The following is a 19342-nucleotide window of genomic DNA, read 5'->3' as shown; positions in this document are numbered from 1 at the left end:
TGCTTTTTCCTTCTACTAACAATGTGACTTTGGACCAGGCATAGCTTCCCTGTCTTTTAAATGGGCCAAATAATAGTTGTGTCATGTGGAAGCACATAACATTATTTCTGACATGCTGTAGGAGCTGAAAATGTTAGTTACTGTCCTTCCTCTTAGGAAAGTAGCTGACATAGTTGAATAATTTTAATATATTTGTGAATAAATGAAGGAGTAAATAAATTCAGCATTCTTGGCGACTGGCTTGGGGATTCACTTGTAAATGGGGATAACAATAGGATTATGATAAAGATTAAGTGAGATGATAGATGAAAAGCGCTTCCACAGTGCCCAGCTATGGTAAGTGCTTTAAAAGCATAAGCCATCAGCAACTTGGGGGTGTTCACCTACAGTCCCAGCCATTCAGGAGGCTGAGGCAGGAGGGTCACTGGAGCCTAGGAGTTCAAGGCCAGCCTGAGAAACATAGCGAGACCCTGTCTTTAAAAAATGAAACAAAATGGGAGCCATCATGAGAGAGGTAATCCTTTAAAACCAATATATCAGATCTCCTAGAAAAGAATTGGAGAAGTGGCTTTCTCTCTATTTAGGTACCTCTCACAAGCTATATCACTTGCTTCTGTACTGCATAGTAAACTCTCAATAGCCTCTGAGTAACAAACTGCAATATCCATTAATAGAACACAACATAGCCTGCAGAATTCCAAAACCTCAGGTAAAGAATGAGAAAAAAAAAAAAAAAGACAAAGAGGAAAGTTCTACCAAATTAATAATTTTGTCTAGTGTCAGAAAACACCTAATTATAGAAGTTTCTAGCCAATGCCTCAGCGTCGGCACTCAAACACAATAACAATTGTAACGTCATTCTGAGATAAGTCATAGAAGGAAGGAAGGAGGGACAGAAGAAGGAAGATGGAAGAGGGAAGGAAGGAAGGAAGGGAGGGAGGAAGGGGAGAAAAGAAGGAAAGAAGGAATGAAAAACCAAAATCAATTAGCATACCTAAGACAAAAAGGCTTTGGTTTCAGCATTCCTAATCCTCCACATTCCCAGCTCCCTACTACCTAACAAGTGTATAAGGTGGAACTGAAAGGGTGTTAAATGGGTGGATCCCAGTGGCAATGTCTTTGTTAACACTGCCTATGAGTCAGCTATAAATTCAATTCAAATCCCCAGTCTCTCTGTCTTCTCTGCTTATCATGGTTACCAACAAAATGACTGCTGCCTTTAGAAACCCTAGTGGGAAACAGGTAAATGTGTAAAACGATGTTTGATTTTATATTAAAACTTATAAAAATGTAATTGCTGTAACAGAAAGTAATTTGTTATTGAGTTAGGATTTGTATATTTCGCTTAATCTTCAAAACACAGGAACAGCTTGTTAACATTTCTTCAGTTTTATTTTAAGACTGTTATCTCATTGTACTGCAGCCATTCGAGTGATGAACAAAATTTATGAAGTGTTAGGTTTAATTCCATACCTGCAAGAAAGGTATTTTAGTAATTGGCTTTTTGTAATTCAACACTTGCCGCAATTCTCTCCTAGCTGTAATTGGCTGCTGTTTACGTTTCTTTGAATATACACATTCACAGAGGAGACCTAGCATGTCTGTATGGGCTTCACATTTCTCATATGGAGAAGAAGAAAATGACTGGTTACCATAGCATTTGTTCACAAACTCTATTTGGTGACAGTGTTGATGGTTGCATGGCCTCTCAATGATTTCAGAAGTGTTGCCTCCCGTCGTGTTTGGGAACACAGTTCATAATAAAAGCTACATAAATTTTTCTGTAAAGTATCATGTTCCTAAAATAGTTTCCTCACCTCATCCTTTTTTTTTTTTTGGTGGAGGTGGGAGAAACTGCTAATTAACATTAGCTAATGTTTGTACCTGGCTTTAATTAGACAATTTCACACGAAATCAAAACACATCTCACGTCGCATCTATGATTGGGACTCTTATTTTTATTTGCTTGATGAAGAGACTGAAGCTTACAGAGGTTAAAAGCCAGACTATTAGCAGGTGTCAAAATCAGGATTCTTCTAATTCAGTCTTTTTTATTTGTCTTTTTGTTTTTGCACATTGGTGTTTTGTGGCTTTGGAAAATAGCAATTACAATAGCTATTATTTTTGAATATTTGTTATACACATGGCATATATTATTCCACTTAACTGTCACTTCAGTGCTTAAGTAGATATTATTATCTCCAGTTTATGAATGAGAAGATTGGAGCTTGAAGAGCTCAAAGGGGTTGATCACGTTTTTGGCAAGAACACTTGAAATTTTAGGTCACAGTCTAGTCACTTGCATGAATGTAGAAGTTACTAGTTCCTAGATAATTGGATAGTTTAAGTGGAGTTACTACCTCTAGTTCCACCAAATTTTCTCTTGCTTTAAAACAAGTATTTTGCAAAGTCAAGAAATGAATGAATTTCTCCTTTTGGTGGGTAGGCTAGAAACTGGCACACTATTGATGTCCCATTCTGGTGACTCAATTTCGAAAGTTTTTTGGGCTGACAGTGTTAATGTGTAGTATCACATATAGAAATGATGTCTGAGCTGTAGATCCAGAGAGCTTGTTCTTTCCCATAGTCATGGCAGATCTAGTCTCCACCTGTGCACAAGTATCAAGAGATAAACAGAATTGTGTGTCTCTTAATAATGTTCTTTCCTAAGATGATGTCAGAGTCTTCTAAAGAATGCATACGGTGGAGGTAAAGTGGTAAAGTGGTGAGGTTAAAGCTATTCTTTCCTTTTTTTTTTTTTTGAGACAGGATCTTGCTCTGTTGCCCAGGGTGCAGTGCAGTGCATTGGCGTGATGTCAGCTCACTGCAACCTCCACCTCCTGGGCTCAAGTGATCTTCCCACCTTAGCCTCCCTAGTTGCTGGGACTACAGGTGCACGCCACCATGCCCTGCTAAGTTAAAGCTATTCTTATAACTCCAGTGCATGGAGGCCATAGCTTTTTATTTGAGTACCTTTCAGATTCATATTGTAGAAAGTAATGAGCCTAGTAATGAATAGCTGTCACTATTTCATTGTGAGCCTTCATTTAAAAAAAAAAACCAAAAAAAAAAACCAGTTTTGAACATTAGTAGGAGTTGAAATGGAGTGTTATGTCTCCTTTTTCTTTAATAGTGCTACCAATAGGACTTTCTGATGAGTGGAAATGTTCTATATTTGTGCTGTCAGACAGTAGCCACTAGCCACATGTGCTATTATTGAGCACTTGAACTATGTGAGTGTGACTATGAAACTGAACTTTTAAGTTTATTTATTTTTGAGACAGGGCCCCACTCTGGCACACAGGCTGGAGTGCAGGGGTGTGATCTTAACTCACTGCAACCTCCACCTCTTGGGCTCAAGTGACCCTCCCACTTCAGTCTCCAGAATAGCTACAGTTGTGCCAACATACCTAGCTAATTTTTTTATTTTTATTTTTGTACAGATAGGGTCTGACTATGTTGCTCAGGCTGGCCTCAAACTCTTGGCCTCAAGTGATCCTCCTGTCTTGGCCTCCCAAAGTGCTGGGATTACAGGCATGAGCCACCATGCCTGGCTTAATTTAAGTTTAAATGTAAATAGTCACATGTTGCTAGTATCTCTAGTGGTTGCTGTATTGGACAGTGCAAACCTAGAATGTAACTGAGATGGTCTAGTTCTCTAAAAAGCTCCCAGGGTGAGGGAGGAATATTGTTCACAGTGGGTTTGACTTCTCTGGTGAGTTCCTTCTTTGTACCTTGGGTTGTTTTTTGCCTTTCAGAGGACTGTCTCCCTTGCATTTCCTTTCTGTGAACAATGGAGCTAACATGACTGACTTAAACACCTTTGGCAGTTTAGAGCACGGTGTTCCAGGGTTTAACCCTTGCCAAGTTTAGAGGGGTTCCCCTCCCAGACAGTGACCCAAATCAATGCTAAGGCTGTACAGTATCAGAACATAGAAAACTTTGAATTGCTCACTGAATTTACCGCAAATAAAACTATCTGAAGGCCAGGCGCGGTGGTTCATGCCTGTAATCTCAGCACTTTGGGAGGCTGAGGTGGGCGGATCACAAGGTCAGGAGATTGAGACCGTCCTGGCTAACATGGTGAAACCCCGTTTCTACTAAAAATACAAAAAATTAGCCAGGTGTGGTGGCAGGCGCCTGTAGTCCCAGCTGCTCGGGAGGCTGAGGCAGGAGAATGGCGTGAACCCAGGAGGCAGAGCTTGCAGTGAGTCAAGATCTTGCCACTGCACTCCAGCCTGGGCGACGGAGCGAGAAAAAAAAAAGAAGAAGAAGCTGAGGCAGGAGGATGGCTTGAATTCAGGAGTCCAAGTCCAGCCTGAGCAACATAGTGAGACCCAGTCTTTTAAATTAATAAAATAAAATGAAACCACAAACCTCAAACAAACAAAAAGACAAAACAGGATTTCAATCATTGTGAAGCTCTCGATCTAGTAGATGAGTAATGTATATAAACCAAAATATTACAATTTCAGAGAAGTGCTACAGGGCCTAATGTTTAACCACTTCTGGCATTCAACTGACTGTGTTAAAAACTCTGCCACCACTTTCCAGGGGTATAAATTGAGGTAAGTTATTTGGTATTTATTAAATTTCAGCTTCTTCATATGCAAGGGGGTTATGATAATAATACCTACCCCATGAGGACAATATGAGGATTAAACGAAATAGTGTATGTATACAGCCTTAGCCAATACCCATACATGTTGAGTGCTCAACCAGGTGTTAGCTATTAGATTTTAAAATTTTATTTAATTTTTATGGGGTTTTTTTTGTTGTTGTTGTTGCTGTTGAGACAGAGTCTTGCTCTGTTGCCCAGGCTGGAGAGCAGTGGCGCGATCTCGGCTCACTGCAAGCTCCACCTCTTGGGTTCAAGCAGTTCTCCTGCCTCAGCCTCCCGAGCAGCTGGGACTACAGGCACACACCACCACGCCCAGCTAATTTCTGTATTTTTAGTAGAGATGGGGTTTCACCATGTTGGCCAGGTTGGTCTTGAACTCCCGACCTTGTGATCCACCACCTCGGCCTCCCAAAGTGCTGGGATTACAGGCATGAGCCATCATGTCCTGCCTAGTTTTTTTTTTGTTTTGTTTTGTTTTGTTTTGTTTTTGAGATGGAGTCTCTCACTCTGTCACCTAGGCTGGAGTGCAATGGTGCAATCTCGGCTCACTGCAACCTCCGCCCCCCGGGTTCAAGTGATTCTCCTGTCTCAGTCTCCCGAGTAGCTGAGATTACAGGCACACGCCACCATGCCCGGCTAATTTTTTTTTTGTATTTCAGTAGAGATGGGGTTTCACTGTGTTGTCCAGGCTGGTCTTGAACTCTTCCGCTCGGGCAATCCACCCACCTTGGCCTCCCAAAGTGCTAGGATTACAGGTGTGAGCCACTACGCCCGGCCACTATTTTTTATAGTTTTTAAGGTAAAATTTACATTCACTGAAATGTTACCTGCATATTTTTTGATAAGTGAATATACCTATGTAACTCACATCCCTATCAAGATAGAGACCATTTTTACCACCCAGAAATTTCACTCATGTACCATCCCAGTCAATCCCCTGCCACAGGGAACCACTGTTATGATTTTTTTTCACCACAGATTAATTTTCTTTTCTAGAATTTCAAATAAATGGAACAGTATGACACTCTTTTGTGTCATTTATTTATCTTCACATAGATAATTCACATACTTTGTGTCATTTATCTTCACATAGATAATTCACATACTTTAAGATAAAAAAGGTACAATTTTAAACCTTTTGGGCATGCAGTAAAAATCTCCTTCCCACTGGTACCCACCAGTCACCCAGTCTTCCTCTCTCTTTCTCTCTCTTTTTTTTTTTTTTGAGACAAGATCTTTCTCTGTCGCCCAGGCTGGAGTGCAGTGGCACGATCATGGCTCACTTCGGCCTCACCCTTCCAGGCTCAAGCAATCCTCCTGCCTCAGGCTCCCAAGTAGCAGGACTACAGGTGCCTACCACCACACCTGTCTAAATTTTTTTTTGTATTTTTTTTTTGTAAAGATAGGGTTTTGCCATATTGCTCAGGCTAGTCTTAAACTCCTGATCTTAAATGATCCGCCGGCCTCAGCCTTCCAAAGTGTTTAGATTATAGGCGTGAGCCACCGTGCTTGGCTCAGTCTTCCTCTCTTGAAGCAATCAATGTTATTAGTTTTATGTGGGCCATCCCATGTCTTATCATTATTAATTCAGGTGCTTACAAAAGGCTCTTTGAGAACTGTTTTAAAGGTTACCCAAAGAATCTTGTGACAACCCAGCTAAAATGATATAAAATCAGTTTTAACATAACTGAAGTTTTTAGATTCTGATTCCAAATGTCAGATGGTGACATTTTACCTTTCTCTGACTTTATGCCAAATTTAGTTTAAGTTTTAGCATCTATAATTTTCATTTACTGAACAAATATATATTTAACAAATATGAAAATACAACCATGAAACAAACAAAATCAAATCCTGGACTTAAGGAGCTAATAGTAAAAAATTCACCAATATAACTACCCAATTACAGTTTCATGCGATGTGAAAGGAGTAAGAGACCACCATAGGGAGGTCAGAAGATGCTTCTCAGAGGTGGATACTAGAGCCGTTGTCAAAGGATGAGGACTGGGAGAACTTTCTGGGCACAGAGCAAAGCATGAGTAAAAGCTCTGTTGAGGCCAGGAAGCCGGTAAATAGGGAATAAAAGAGGCTAGCGTGGCTGGAGCACAGACAGCAGGGTGGAATTGGTCTGAGCAGTGAGAAGAGGTGGAGAGGTGGGCAAGGCACCTGGCCATTCAGGGCTTGGTTAGTTAGGAGGGTTTTTTCTAAGAGAATGGGAAAGTGTTTAAGTGGTTTAGGCTGGGAAGTGACAGGGTCACACTGTTATTTTGAAAAAGTCACTCTGCCTGTTGTGTTGAGATTAGAGAGGGGATAAAGGGAATATGGGTAAACCACAAGAAGACTAGGTCAGTAATCCCTCCACCCCCACTCCCCAGGTGAAGGTAGCCTAGACTAGGGTGGTGATGGAGGAAATAGGAGAGGACAGATTCAAGGACCATTTGTAAGGGAAAAACCAATAGAATTTGCTGACGGATGGAATATAAGAGGGGAGAGGTACATTATCAAGGATGTAGCTTAGTTTTCTTATACAAGGATTGAGTTGCAATAAAATTGTTAATTGAAATTTCTTTAAATAATGGCACAACCTAAAGTTATGCAAACATATGCCTCAGATAAAAGTTCAAGTTTTCAAAGTTTTTAGCTGGGTGGAGGGCATGGCTTTACTTCCTATTTCTTGGTATTTCCTAATCTTGTTGAAAAAAAAGTAAGGTTTTTTTTTTTTTTTTTTTCTGAAATGCTTAGTTCAGTGGAAACCCATCTGCGAATTCTGTCTTATAAATTTAAATTTAAAAATAGGGATACTAATTTCTAGACAAATAATTCCGGAGTTTCTTGTGCTGCTAATTATTATAATTTTTGTCCCTTTTTTTTTTTGAGACAGAGTATCGTTCTGTCGCCCAGGCTGGAGTGCAGTGGCGCGATCTTGGCTCACTGCAACCTCCACCTCCGTGGTTCAAGCAATTCCCCTGCCTCAGCCTCCAGAGTAGCTTGGCTGGGAGTACAGGCGCACGCCACGACGCCGGGCTATTTTTTTTTTTTGTATTTTTAGTAGAGACGGGGTTTCACCATGTTGGCCAGATTGGTCTCCAACTCCTGACCTCAGGCAATCCGCCCGCCTCGGCCTCCCAAAGTGTTGGGATTACAGGTGTGAGCCACCGCGCCCGGCTGTCACTTCTAAACATATAATGAAAGTAATCTGTATTGCCTTTTTACTTTTTCTTGCCTGCTTTTCCTGGACCAGAAATTAATAGGCTGTTTCCGTCCCAAACAAAGTACTTTCCTTCTAAGAATGTCTTCGTTGACGCTGGAGGGCTGCCCGGCTGAATCTTACGTATTCGTGCCCATGTTCTGCCCCCTGCAGTAGTCTGCATAAACCCAATGCGAAGACACGTGTAAGAGTACATTACAATTACAAGTGTCATTTACGCGTTGATTATTGTTTTTGCGAGTGCCCTAAGGCCACCTCTGGGGGAGCTCGGGGCTGCCTTCCGAAGCATGCGCGTCAGCACCGCGTGCCAGGGCCCTGAAAGTCAGGCTCCGCGTCGGTGCGGCAGCGCGAGGCCTGCAGTCCTAAGCTCGGGGTCGCTTCGGGCCCCCGAGGGGGTGTGTCTTCTACCGTTTTAACATGGAAGGGGCGGTTCCAGTGGCCGGGGAAGTCGGCGACTTGCAGGACTGAAGGCTGGTGCTTTGAAAGAGAGGCGGAGGGCGAGAGCGATTTCCCCGCCTCCTCTGCACTCCGTCCAATCCCTTCGCCTTCTCCTTTTCTCGGCCGGCCCGCCCGGCCCCTAACCTGCTCCAACCCATTCTGCGGTAGAGGCTGCCGGGTCTCTTTAAGGCCCTCCCGCGCCTGCGCCTTGGGCTCTCCTGACGCGGCCGGGCCGGACCCCGGAGGAACCAGCTGGCCAGCTGGCAAGGGGCTGGCTGCAGTTCCGACAGCGGCGGTGCCGGGAGGGGTAGGTGAGGGTCGCGAGGCGGCCCTGAGCTTCTGAGTGAGCGTGGTGCTTTTGGGAACTCGGGACGGGCGACCCGTGGAGCCAGGAGCGGGGCCGAGGCGCTGAGACGCGGCGGCGCGGCTGCCGGCTGGATGGGAAGTTAATGTTTACGGCGAAGTCTACTCAACGTTTCCAAGGTGAGGGGCGCTGCGCCAGGCCGGGCGGGCCGGGAGGCCGGGCGGGCGGTGAGTCCGTGTTCCGCTGGCGCACAGCTGGGCCGAGGCGCGGCGGGCGGGGGCCGCCGCAAGTTTTGCTGTGGGAGCGGGGCGGGCGCGCCTGGCCCCGCCAGGGCCTAAGTTCCCTGCACTCGCTTCCTCGCCTGTCGCCGCCGCCGCCGCCCGCAGCCCTCCTTCTCGTGGGCGCTGGGGAAGAAACTCGTCGGCGGGTCTAACTGTGGCGTCCCAGGGCGGTGGAGGGACGGAGCAGCTTCGGGGGCACGTCCTCGTAAATCCCGTGGAGGACACTGACCCTGCACCCCACCCTCGAGGCCAGAAGTCGGTTCCCTTTGGGGACCTGAGGGGCGAGAGCACTCGCCCCCCTGACTTGCAAAGTTGGCGTCTTTACTTGGCCTCCGGGATTCTGCGCATGGCGTGTCTCCAGGCTGCTGATGGGCAAGACAGATGTGCCAGGTCCAGAATGAACTTGAGAAGAGTTTGTAGCCATTCCTGAATCACCTTATGACTAGTGGGGCAAGCCTCAAATTAACCTCAGGATTTCCGGTAGGTTGGATTGTGGTGTTGGTGTTTCCACTCAAAAGAGTTGCTGTGATTTCCCTGTGTCTGTCTGTCTGTCTGTCTTTGGGGCTTCTTAGATCATCTCATTTGGCATCCTTTCACCCAAGAGTTAAACCAAGCCTTTTGGAATGGTTTCCTCGCTTTCCTCCTATCTATTGCTGGTAGAGCTGCTTTCGAAAAGAAGTATTTTCTTGAAGTGGTATCTTTTCTTTGGGTTACAGTGTTGAATAATAAACTCCTTTCTTTGCCGAAAGAATGAATTCCAGTGCTTACTGAAGTTAAAGAAAAGTGATCTGCTGGTAGTTTTTAATCTTTGTTCTGAGCTGATGTAAGTAACTTTTTTTGTTTTAAAATTTTGTTAGTAGAATTTCACCAGTGTACCAGAAGCTCTTTTTCTTTTTCTTTTCTTTTCTTTTTTTTTTTTTTTTTTGACAGGGAGTCTCGCTCTGTCGCCAGACTGGAGTGCAGTGGCGACGTTGGTTCACTGCAACCTCCACCTCCTGCGTTTAAGCAATTCTCCTGCCTCAGCCCCGCGAGTAGCTGGGACTACAGGCGCGCGCCACCACTCCCAGCTAATTTTTGTATTTTTAGTAGAGATGAGGTTTCACCATGTTGGCCACGATGGTCTTGATCTCTTGACCTCGTGTTCCACCCGCCTCAGCCTCCCAAAGTGTTGGGGTTACAGGCGTGAGCCACCGTGCCCGGCCTTCTTTTTCTTTTCTTTTCTTTTCTTTTTTTTTTTTTTTTTTTTTTTTAAGGCTGAGTCTCACTCTGTTGCCTAGGCTGGATATATTCTCCTGCCTCAGCCTCCCGAGTAGCTGGGATTACAGGCGTACATCACCACGCCCGGCTAATTTTTTTTTTTTTGTATTTTTAGTAGAAACGGGGTTTCACCGTGTTGGTCAGGCTGGTCTCGAACTCCTGACCTCAAATGATCTGCCCGCCTCGGCCTTCGAAAGTGCTGGGATTACAGGCGTGAGCCAGCGCACCTGGCCCAGGTGGTCTTTTTTCTGTTCTAAAATGATAACTACGATTTCCGAGAACTTTGTGTCAAATAAATCTTAGAACTAAGTTATTGAAGTATAGAGAAAAAGTTCACAATTCTAAATGTGCAGGTGGTCTGGGTGCGGTGGCTCACGCATGTGATCCTAGCATTTTGGGAGGCAGAGGCAGGTGGATCACTTGAGCCCAGGAGTTTGAGACCAGCCAGGGCAACGTGGCAAAACCCCATTTTCTACTAAAAATACAAAAATTAGCTGGGTGTGGTTGTGTGCGCTGGTAGTCCGAGCTACCCAGGAGGCTGAGGTGGGAGGATCACCAAAGCCGGGGAGGTCGAAGTTGCAGTGAGCCTTGATCATGCCACTGCACTCCAGCCTGAGCGGCAGAGTGAGACCGTCTTTCAAAAAAAACAAAAACAAAAAACATCGCAGGTAATGAATTTTTACTAAGTGAACCACCAAAGATCAAGAAATAGGACATTACTAGATTGGAGTATGTACGTAGGAGTGGCATTGTTGGTTTTATAGGTACGTGGGTGATAAAACTCTAGTATTAGAAATTGTTGAACATTTTCCCAAAGTGGTTCTACCAATTAGCAGGGAATGTTCCGGTTACCCCACATCCTTGCTGGTGCTTGTCAGTTGAAATTTTTTTTGCTAGTCTAGTAGAGGTACAGTAATATATCAGTGTGGTTTCATTTTGCATTTTCCTGGTACTGAGGTTGAGTATCTTTTGTTGACCATTTATATTTCCTCTTGTGAAGTGCCTGTTAAGTCTTTTTGCCCAGTTTTCGTTGATATGCTTATTTTTCTCTCATTTATAATGCTTTATTCTGGATATGAGTCCTTTCTAGGATATATATGTATTGCATTTTTATTTTTTTCAGTCTGTATTTTGCCTTTTCAGTCTTTTAATGGTGTTTTTTTTCATGCCTGGAGATTCTTAATTTGTGTGTGTGTGTGTTTTTTGTTTGTTTGTTTTGTAAGATGGAGTCTCACTCTGTTGCCAGGCTAGAGTGCAGTGGCGCGATCTCGGCTCACTGCACCCTCGCCTCCCGGGTTCAAGCAATTCTCCTGCCTCAGCCTACTGAGTAGCTGGGACTATAGGTGTGTGCCACCATGCCCGGCTAATTTTTGTATTTTTAGTAGAGACAGGGCTTCACCATGTTGGCCAGGGTGGTCTTGATTTCTTGACCTCATGATCCATCCACCTCGGCCTCCTAAAGTGCTGGGATTACAGGTGTGAGCCACCGTGCCTGGCCTTTTTTTTTTTTTTTTTTTTTTTTGAGACAGAATCTCACTCTGTTGCCCAGGTTGGAGTGCAGTGGCACGATCACGGCTCACTGCAATCTTGATCTCCCAAGACTCAGGTATTCCTCCTGCCTTAACCCCCAAGTAGCTGGAACTACAGATGAGCACCACCATGCCCAGCTAATTTTTGTATCTTTAGTGGAAATGGGGTTTTGCCATGTTGCATAGGCTGGTCTCGAACTCCTGGGCTCAAGTCATACACCTACACCAGCCTCAGCCTCCCAAAGTGTTGTGATTACAGGCATGAACCACTGCACCCAGCCTGAGATTCTTAATTTTAATGAAGTATACTTTATCAATCTTGTCCTTTATGGTTACTGCTTTTTGTGTCCTATTTAAGAAATCAATGCCTAACCTGAGAATATGAACATATTTTTCTGTGTTGTCTTATAGCAATTTTATTTTACTTTTTGCAAAAAAAATTTTTTTTTTTTTCAGACAGGGTCTGAAGTGCAGTGGTGCAGTCTCAGAACACTGCAACCTCCGCCTCCTGTGCTCAAGCATTCCTCCCACCTCAGCCTCCTGAGTAGCTGTGACTACGACTACAGGCATATGCCACCATGCCTGGCTAATTTTTGTATGTTTTGTAGAGTCAGGGTTTCAACATATTACCCAGGCTGGTCTCAAACTCTTGGGCTCAAGCAATCTGCCCTCTTCGGCTTCCCAAAGTGCTGGGATTACAGGTGTGAGCCACTGTACCCATCCCCTACTTTTTGCATTTAAGGTATATAATTTAGAGTAAATTCTTGATGAATCGCAGGGGTCAAGATTCACTTTTTAGGCCGGGCGTGGTGGCTCATGCCTGAAATCCCAGCACTTTGGGAGGCCGAGGCGAGCGGATCATGAGGTCAGGAGTTTGAGACCAGCCTAGCCAACATGGCGAAACCCTGTCTCTACTAAAAATACAAAAATTAGCTGGGCGTGGTGGCGGGTGCCTGTAATCCCAGCTACTCAGGAGGCTGAGGCAGGAGAATCGCTTGAACCTAGGAGGCAGAGGTTGCAGTGAGCCGAGATTGTGCCATTGCACTCTAGCCTGGGCGACAGAGTGAGACTCGGTCTCAAAAAAAAAAAAAAAAATTTACTTTTTTTTTTCTTTGAGACAAGGTCTCACTGTATCACCCAGGCTGGAGTGCAGTAACATGATCTCCACCTGCTTTGACCTCCCAAAGTGCTGGGATTTAGGCATGACCCACTGCACCGGGCCAAGATTCACTTTTTTCTATATAGACGTCTGTTTGATCCAGCACCATTTATTGCAAATACCATCCTTGTCCATCTGCACTGTGTGGCACTTTTTTTCATAAATTAGATAACAGTATGGTCAGCTAATTTATGAAATTAGTGTGGGTCTGTTTCTGGATACTTTGTTCTATTTGTATATTTGTCATCCTTGCACTAATATCACTGTATTAATGTAACTTTATAATAAGCTTTGATATGTGGTAATATAAGCTCTCCAACTTTGAGAGGTGGGCAAAGAAAGTGGGCTGTGGGCAGGGGCTGCTTTTCATCAAACACACTTCTGTTTAACCCCTTGGCTTTCAGCCTTGAGCCTTACTTTACTTTTCTTGAGTCTGGAGTCTCACAGGTGTATTAGTCTGTTCTCATGCTGCTATGAAGAATACCCAAGACGGGGTAATTTATAAAGAAAAGAGGTGTAATTGACTTACAGTGCCATATGGCTGGGGAGGCATCAGGAAACTTACAACCATGGTGGAAAGCACCTCTTCACAGGGGAACAGGAGAGCGAATGAATGCCCAGCAAAGGGTGAAGCCCCCTGTAAAACCATCAGATCTCGTGAGAACTCACTCACTATCACAATAACAGGGTGGGGGAAATTGCCCCTTTGATTCATTTATCTCCACCTGGTCCTGCCCTTGACATGTGGGGATTATTAACAATTTAAGGTGAGATTTGGGTGGGGACACAGAGCCAAATCGTATCACCAGGTCAGAGTTTCTAGAAAATAAATTTATGAGATAGGAATGGTGGCAGAGGAGGGAACCTAGACTAGAGTCCAACTGTACCTTACATAAACTTTAAACCATTTACTTTCTCTTTAGCCCCATGCCTCTCCACTGACCCTATACCTGGGAACTCCTAGGCTCCTAGATTCTGAGCCTTTCTGTGATTCTGTGAGTTAGCCAAATCAGCTTGCTTCTTTTTATTTTTTAAATTAAAAAAATTTTTATATCACTTTATCTGGCAGCCTTCTTCTGAGCCAGAATAGGCTCAGAGAGACTCCTCAGCTTGTTTCTTGATTGTATTCCCTTTTGCAGGCCAGTAGGTTCAGCCTCCTCTACTCAGTCACTTATTTCTCCATCTCTTCTTGTTTCATGGGTGCCATATCTGTTCTTATCTCTCTGAGAATGTTAAAAATCGTTTTCTTAAGCCTTTCTTTTTTTTTTTTTGAGACGGAGTCTCAGCCACCCAGGCTAGAGTGCAGTGGCGTGATCTCGGCTCACTGCAGCCACCATCTTCCGGGTACAAGCGATTCCCCGTCTCGGCCCTCCAAGTAGCTGGTATTACAGGCATCTGCCATCATGCCCAGCTAATTTTTGTATTTTTAGTAGAGCCGGGTTTTCACCATGTTGGCCAGGCTGGTCTTGAACTCCTTACCTCAGGTGATCCGTCCACCTTGGCCTCCCAAAGTGCTAGGACTACAGCTGTGAGGCACTGCACCTGGCCTAGACCTTCTTTTCCTTGCATAGTTTCTTCCAAGTTACTTTTTTTCCTATTTGGTATAGTCTTATTAGTAGAGGCCCTCCTCGGAAGACTGGTAATCCTTGGTTGTCTGTTCATGATTAACAGTGGGCTACTGAAAGCTGATGGGAAGTCCTGAACTTGTAAGTAGGACTTAAGGACATGTTGTTTTACCCTATATTCTAGAGTCTAAAGCAGTGATTCTCAGCTTCGGCTGCACATTATAATCACATGGAGAATTAAAAAAAAAAATCCCTGCTGCTAATACGTCAGAATCTCTGAGACTAGGTCCCAGGTAGGGATAGTTAAAAAAATTAGGTGTGGCTACATACAGTAAAATGCACAGAATTTAAGTGTATAGTTTGATTTTTACCATGTAACCGATATAAGATGTAGAGCATGGCAAAAAATTCTAGAAAATTCCTTCATATCCCTTTCTTCTGTTGTCTCACTCCCAGCCTAGAGGTGACCACTATTCTGATTTCTATCTCCGAAGATTAGCACCAGTATTTTTTAAAGCTGCCAAGATAATTCCAGTGTGTAGCCAAGATTGAAATAATTGATCTGGGTGGATTGTTTGAGGCTGTCTCCACTGTATTTATCTTTCCTTTTGTCCCAGTCATATTTTCCAGAGAGTATCTTCCAGTTTTCTGCTTGGAGAGTTGAGGTCTGGTTGTCAGTATCTGGGAACTCAGGAAAAGAGGGTTGGGTAAGGAGCCAAAGAACATTTAGTATATTGGGCTCACACAATCTGTCTCTGTTAGGATGCCTATGTCTTCCACCTTGTATGGTTTACCCTCTTGAGAAGAGAAATCTGTCACCTGCCACATTGAGGGTGGGGCCACTCAGCAGCTTGGAAGAAATCTGGGATTCTAACTGTTCAGCATTCACTTGCTCCTTTCTTTTAGTCCCCCTTCCACTCTTTGTTCTGGCAGTTCCTGAGCCTTTTGAGGAATCTATGGCATAAACCGGTTTGTTCTTAGTTGTCAGCATTGCTGGCTTAGAATTTGGCCATCTTTGGCGGGGTGCAGTGGCTCACCCCTGTAATCCCAGCCCTTTGGGAGGCTGAGGCAGGCAGATCATGAGGTCAAGAGATCGAGACCATCCTGGCCAACATGGTGAAACCCCGTCTCTACTAAAAATACAAAAATTAGCTGTGCGTGGTGGCGTGCGCCTGTAGTCCCAGCTACTCAGGAGGCTGAGGCAGGAGGATTGCTTGAACCCAGGAGGTGGAGGTAGCAGTGAGCTGAGATTGCGCCACTGCACCTCCAGCCTGGCGACAGAGTGACACTCCGTCACAAAAAAAAAAAAAAAAAGATTTTGGCATCTTTGACTAGGTCAGTTATCCAGCTGCTTTCCAGCTTCCAAAATTTTGTTGCTATTGTCTCATTCTCCCTGTCATAATGGCTTGTGTCCTAAAAACAGAACAAACAACAATAACACAACTTTCTTTATCCTTGTTTTAGTAACGTTTTGGGAGGAAGCAAAATTAGATGTGTGTGTGTTCAATCTGCCATCTCACCTTGGAAGTCCACTGTCTGCTTTCCATTATACAGAAACTTGTTGCCACCTGTCCTCCATTGTTGTCTCCTCCTTATGGGGTTATACCTTTTAAATTTCTTCATAGTTGTCTGAAAAGAGTGTCAGGAGGTAGAGGACCTAAATATTGGTCAAGATATCATTTCTTTAGGAGTCTCAAAATTCTTTTTAGAAGTACTCGTTGTCCCAGGATCTTATAATCTCAAGATTGGAAGTGATTTTGAAGATAATCCGGTTTAACGAGCTATTTGATACCTTCTCTAAAGGAATTGTCCAGCCTAAAATGTGAGAAACTTGTGGTAGGAGGAGATGAGTGCCTGGAGAAATGGATTGGGCTGTAGATCTCTGCAAGGGGTCTGGAAATCCATGTGTACATTAAATGTTGCATGAATAATAGTTCTTGCATATTTGTAATATATAATAAAATTTATTAAAAAGTCATAATGGGCCGGGCGTGGTGGTGGCTCACGCCTGTAATCCCAGCACTTTGGGAGTCTGAGGCAGCTGGATCACCTGAGGTCAGGAGTTTAAGACCAGCCTGGCCAACATAGTGAAACCCCATCTCTACTAAAAATACAAAAAATTGGCTGGGTGCAGTGGTTCACACCTGTAATCCCAGCACTTTGGGAGGCCAAGGCGGGTGGATCACGAGGTCAGGAGATTGAGACCATCTTGGCTAACATGGTGAAACCCCGTCTCTACTAAAAATACAAAAAATTAGCCAGGCGTGGTGGCGGGCGTCTGTAGTCCCAGCTACTCGGGAGGCTGAGGCAGGAGAATGGCGTGAACCCGGGAGGCGGAGCTTGCAGTGAGCTGAGATCTTGCCACTGCACTCCAGCCTGGGCGACGAGCGAGACTCTGTCTCAAAAAAAAAAAAAAAAAAGTTAGCTGGCTATGGTGGTGTGCACCTGTAGTCCCAGCTACTTGGTAGGCTGAGGCAGGAGAATCACTTGAACATGAGAGGCAGAGGCTGCAGTGAGTCGAGATCATACCACTGCACTCCAGCTTGGGTGACAGTGAGTGAAACTCCATCTCAAAAAAAAAAAAAAAAGTCATGATGGTGTTATCATTTCATTTAGTAATGCTTAAATCCAATCATGGGGAGAGGTAGTACTCAGAATTTTTTATTTTGAAAAAAGCTTCTAGACTAGAAAAAGTTATGAGCTATTACTAAAGATTAATAAAGTTGTGGAGATTTTAGTGTATAGTTAACATAAAGTGAATGATAAAACCACCCATTAAAGTCTCTATTTTAAATATCTCTAATAGCTTTGTTATTCTTTGACATTCTATATTTTTATTTTCTTTAAAACACTAAGTCAGTAGCTTCCCAAATGTTGCTCTTTGAGTTAGAATTTTTACCATGAAGTTCATGATGAAATAGAAATGTTATCAATGTTTATACAATTTATTCACCTTTAAATTATATCCATCCTTTTTCTGTGTTAAAATGCCCTTTTTCTTATGAAGTTGTGATTCTAGATAGTAGATAGATTTTTTCCTTCTAATATTTGGCAAAAAATAAAAACCTGCGAGCTCTACATATTGCTCTTCAAATTAATTTTTTTTTTTTTTTTTTGAGATGGAGTCTTGCTCTGTCGCCCAGGCTGGAGTGCAGTGGCGCAATTTTGGCTCACTGCAACCTCCGCCTCCCGGGTTCACGCCATTCTCCTGCCTCAGCCTCCCAAGTAGCTGGGACTACAGGCGCCCACCACCACGCCTGGCTAATTTTTGATATTTTTAGTAGAATCAGGGTTTCACCGTGTTAGCCAGGATGGTCTTGATCTCCTGACCTCGTGATCCACCTGCCTCGGCCTCCCAAAGTGCTGGGATTACAGGCGTGAGCCACCGTGCCCGGCCTCAAATTAATTTTTAACAAGTTTTATAAAATACAGAAGCCTGCTTCTCAACTGCACAAAATCCCCATTGGCCTTTTCTTTCTACCACAAGTTAGTAACAGTCAGTCATGTGTTGCTTAACAATGGGGATATGTTCTGAGAAATGAGTTGTTAGACAATTTCACTGTTGCATGAACATCGTAGAATACACTTAGACAAAGCTAGATAATAGAGCCTACTATACACACCTAGGCTATATGGTATAGCCTTTTGCTCCTAGGCTACAAACCTGTACAGTATGTTATTGTATGGAATACTGTAGGCAGTTGTAACACAGTGGTACTTGTGTATCTAAACAGCAAAGATACACCAAAAGTACTATATTATAATCTCATGAGACCACCCTCTTTTTTTTTTTTTTTGAAATGCAGTCTCGCTGTGTCTCGCAGGCTGGAGTGCAGTGGCGCTATCTCAGCTCACTGCAACTTCTGCCTCCTGGGTTCAAACTATTCTCCTGCCTGAGCCTCCCAGTAGCTGGGATTATAGGCACACACCACTACACATGGCTAATTTCTACATTTTTATTAGAGATGGAGTTTCACCACGTTGGCCAGGTTGGTCTTGAACTCCTGACCTCAAATGATCCACCTGCCTCAGTCTCCCAAAGTGCTGGGATTACAGGCGTGAGCCACTATGCTCAGGCAGGGACTACCCTCTTATATGTGGTATCCATTGACTGAAATGTTCTTATGCGGTGCATGACTGTATTTTACTTTTGTGTTTGTATATAAAATTCAAGATATCAATCAGATGACATGGGGAATTTTTACTATCTCTCATGGTGTTACGATAGTCCTTCCTCATTGGAAGAATGTAGATTGATTAATTGTTGTTAGAACCTGTTGATTGTGACCCCCTAAGTTTGCTTGCAAAGTGTCATCTCATTTCTCACTAGGTATTGCTACTAGCCTGGTATGTTTATTTTGCATTTTTAGCTGTTTACTTCAAGAGAGCTTTCTCTGCTTGTACTGTTTGCAGTTTATCCTTTTAAGTGGCCAAAACCAATGTGGGTTTAGTGCCTTGTTCATTGTTCTTTGTGCTCATCCAACTCACACAGTTAAACTCTCTGAAAAGTGTTCCCTAAAGTTAGTTAAACTGGCTATTATCTGGGTTTTTGTTGTTGTTTTTGCTATTTAGTGTCTTGTAAGTTTGTTATCAGGACTCCTCTTAAGTAACTGCTAGCTCCTTTGTTCTTGAAAGGGACCTTGATGAGAGATAGGAACAAAACTTGCTTTATTATGGATAATGCTTTTTTTGTTTGTTCATAGGAAAGCGTAAGCACTGAGATAGAAGGAAGGATGGGGATTTTGTCTGAGTTGGTGCTCAAATGATTATTTGCTGTTGTCTTTGGCCTGAATCTTTTGTATGTCAGAAATGAATCCAGTATGCTCATAAATTATGCTAGTGACTTTATCAGAACAGCGTTAGCAGATACTGTATAAAAGTGTAGCTTTAATGATTAATTATATAATATATTTGAATGAAATACATGAGAAAGGTAGAAGAAAAATGTAATATCTTCAGGCATACCAGAAATCAGGATAG

General features: G+C 43.5%; 1 protein-coding gene across 23 annotated transcripts in view, besides 3 other annotated features; it reads left to right on the top strand.

Moving 5' to 3' along the window:
• The first annotated feature begins 1175 nt into the window (after nucleotides 1-1175).
• Nucleotides 1176-19342, top strand: part of EVI5 (ecotropic viral integration site 5) — a 283715-nt gene continuing 265548 nt past the window's right edge. For 12 of the 23 annotated variants that reach the window (XR_001737401.2, NM_005665.6, NM_001308248.2 and 9 more), the window contains exon 1: nucleotides 1176-1242. Coding sequence is in view for 15 of the 23 variants with exons in the window: in NM_005665.6 (NP_005656.4) it covers nucleotides 1192-1242 (51 nt within the window). In the remaining 8 variants the exon portion in view is untranslated. Of the gene's footprint in view, nucleotides 1243-8477; nucleotides 9333-19342 lie in introns of those variants that run through there. The other 11 variants (NM_001377212.1, NM_001377211.1, NM_001350197.2 and 8 more) reach the window with 2 other exon arrangements.
• Nucleotides 8078-8357: an enhancer, noted in NCBI's record as "active region_1318". NCBI's record gives its function as "activates an Ori minimal core promoter by ATAC-STARR-seq in GM12878 lymphoblastoid cells {active_cell/tissue: GM12878}" and the evidence as "EXISTENCE:reporter gene assay evidence [ECO:0000049][PMID:35858748]".
• Nucleotides 8628-8897: a silencer, noted in NCBI's record as "silent region_1077". NCBI's record gives its function as "represses an Ori minimal core promoter by ATAC-STARR-seq in GM12878 lymphoblastoid cells {active_cell/tissue: GM12878}" and the evidence as "EXISTENCE:reporter gene assay evidence [ECO:0000049][PMID:35858748]".
• Nucleotides 18578-19241: an enhancer, noted in NCBI's record as "NANOG hESC enhancer chr1:93239902-93240565 (GRCh37/hg19 assembly coordinates)". NCBI's record gives its function as "activates a minimal SCP1, AML or CMV promoter by ChIP-STARR-seq in naive H9 embryonic stem cells {active_cell/tissue: H9 hESC(naive)}" and the evidence as "EXISTENCE:reporter gene assay evidence [ECO:0000049][PMID:30033119]".

This window comes from Homo sapiens, chromosome 1, assembly GCF_000001405.40.
Source record: "Homo sapiens chromosome 1, GRCh38.p14 Primary Assembly".
NCBI lineage: Eukaryota > Metazoa > Chordata > Mammalia > Primates > Hominidae > Homo > Homo sapiens.
The sequence above is the reverse complement of the archived record's forward strand: the minus strand, read 5'-3'. Positions and strand labels throughout refer to the sequence as shown.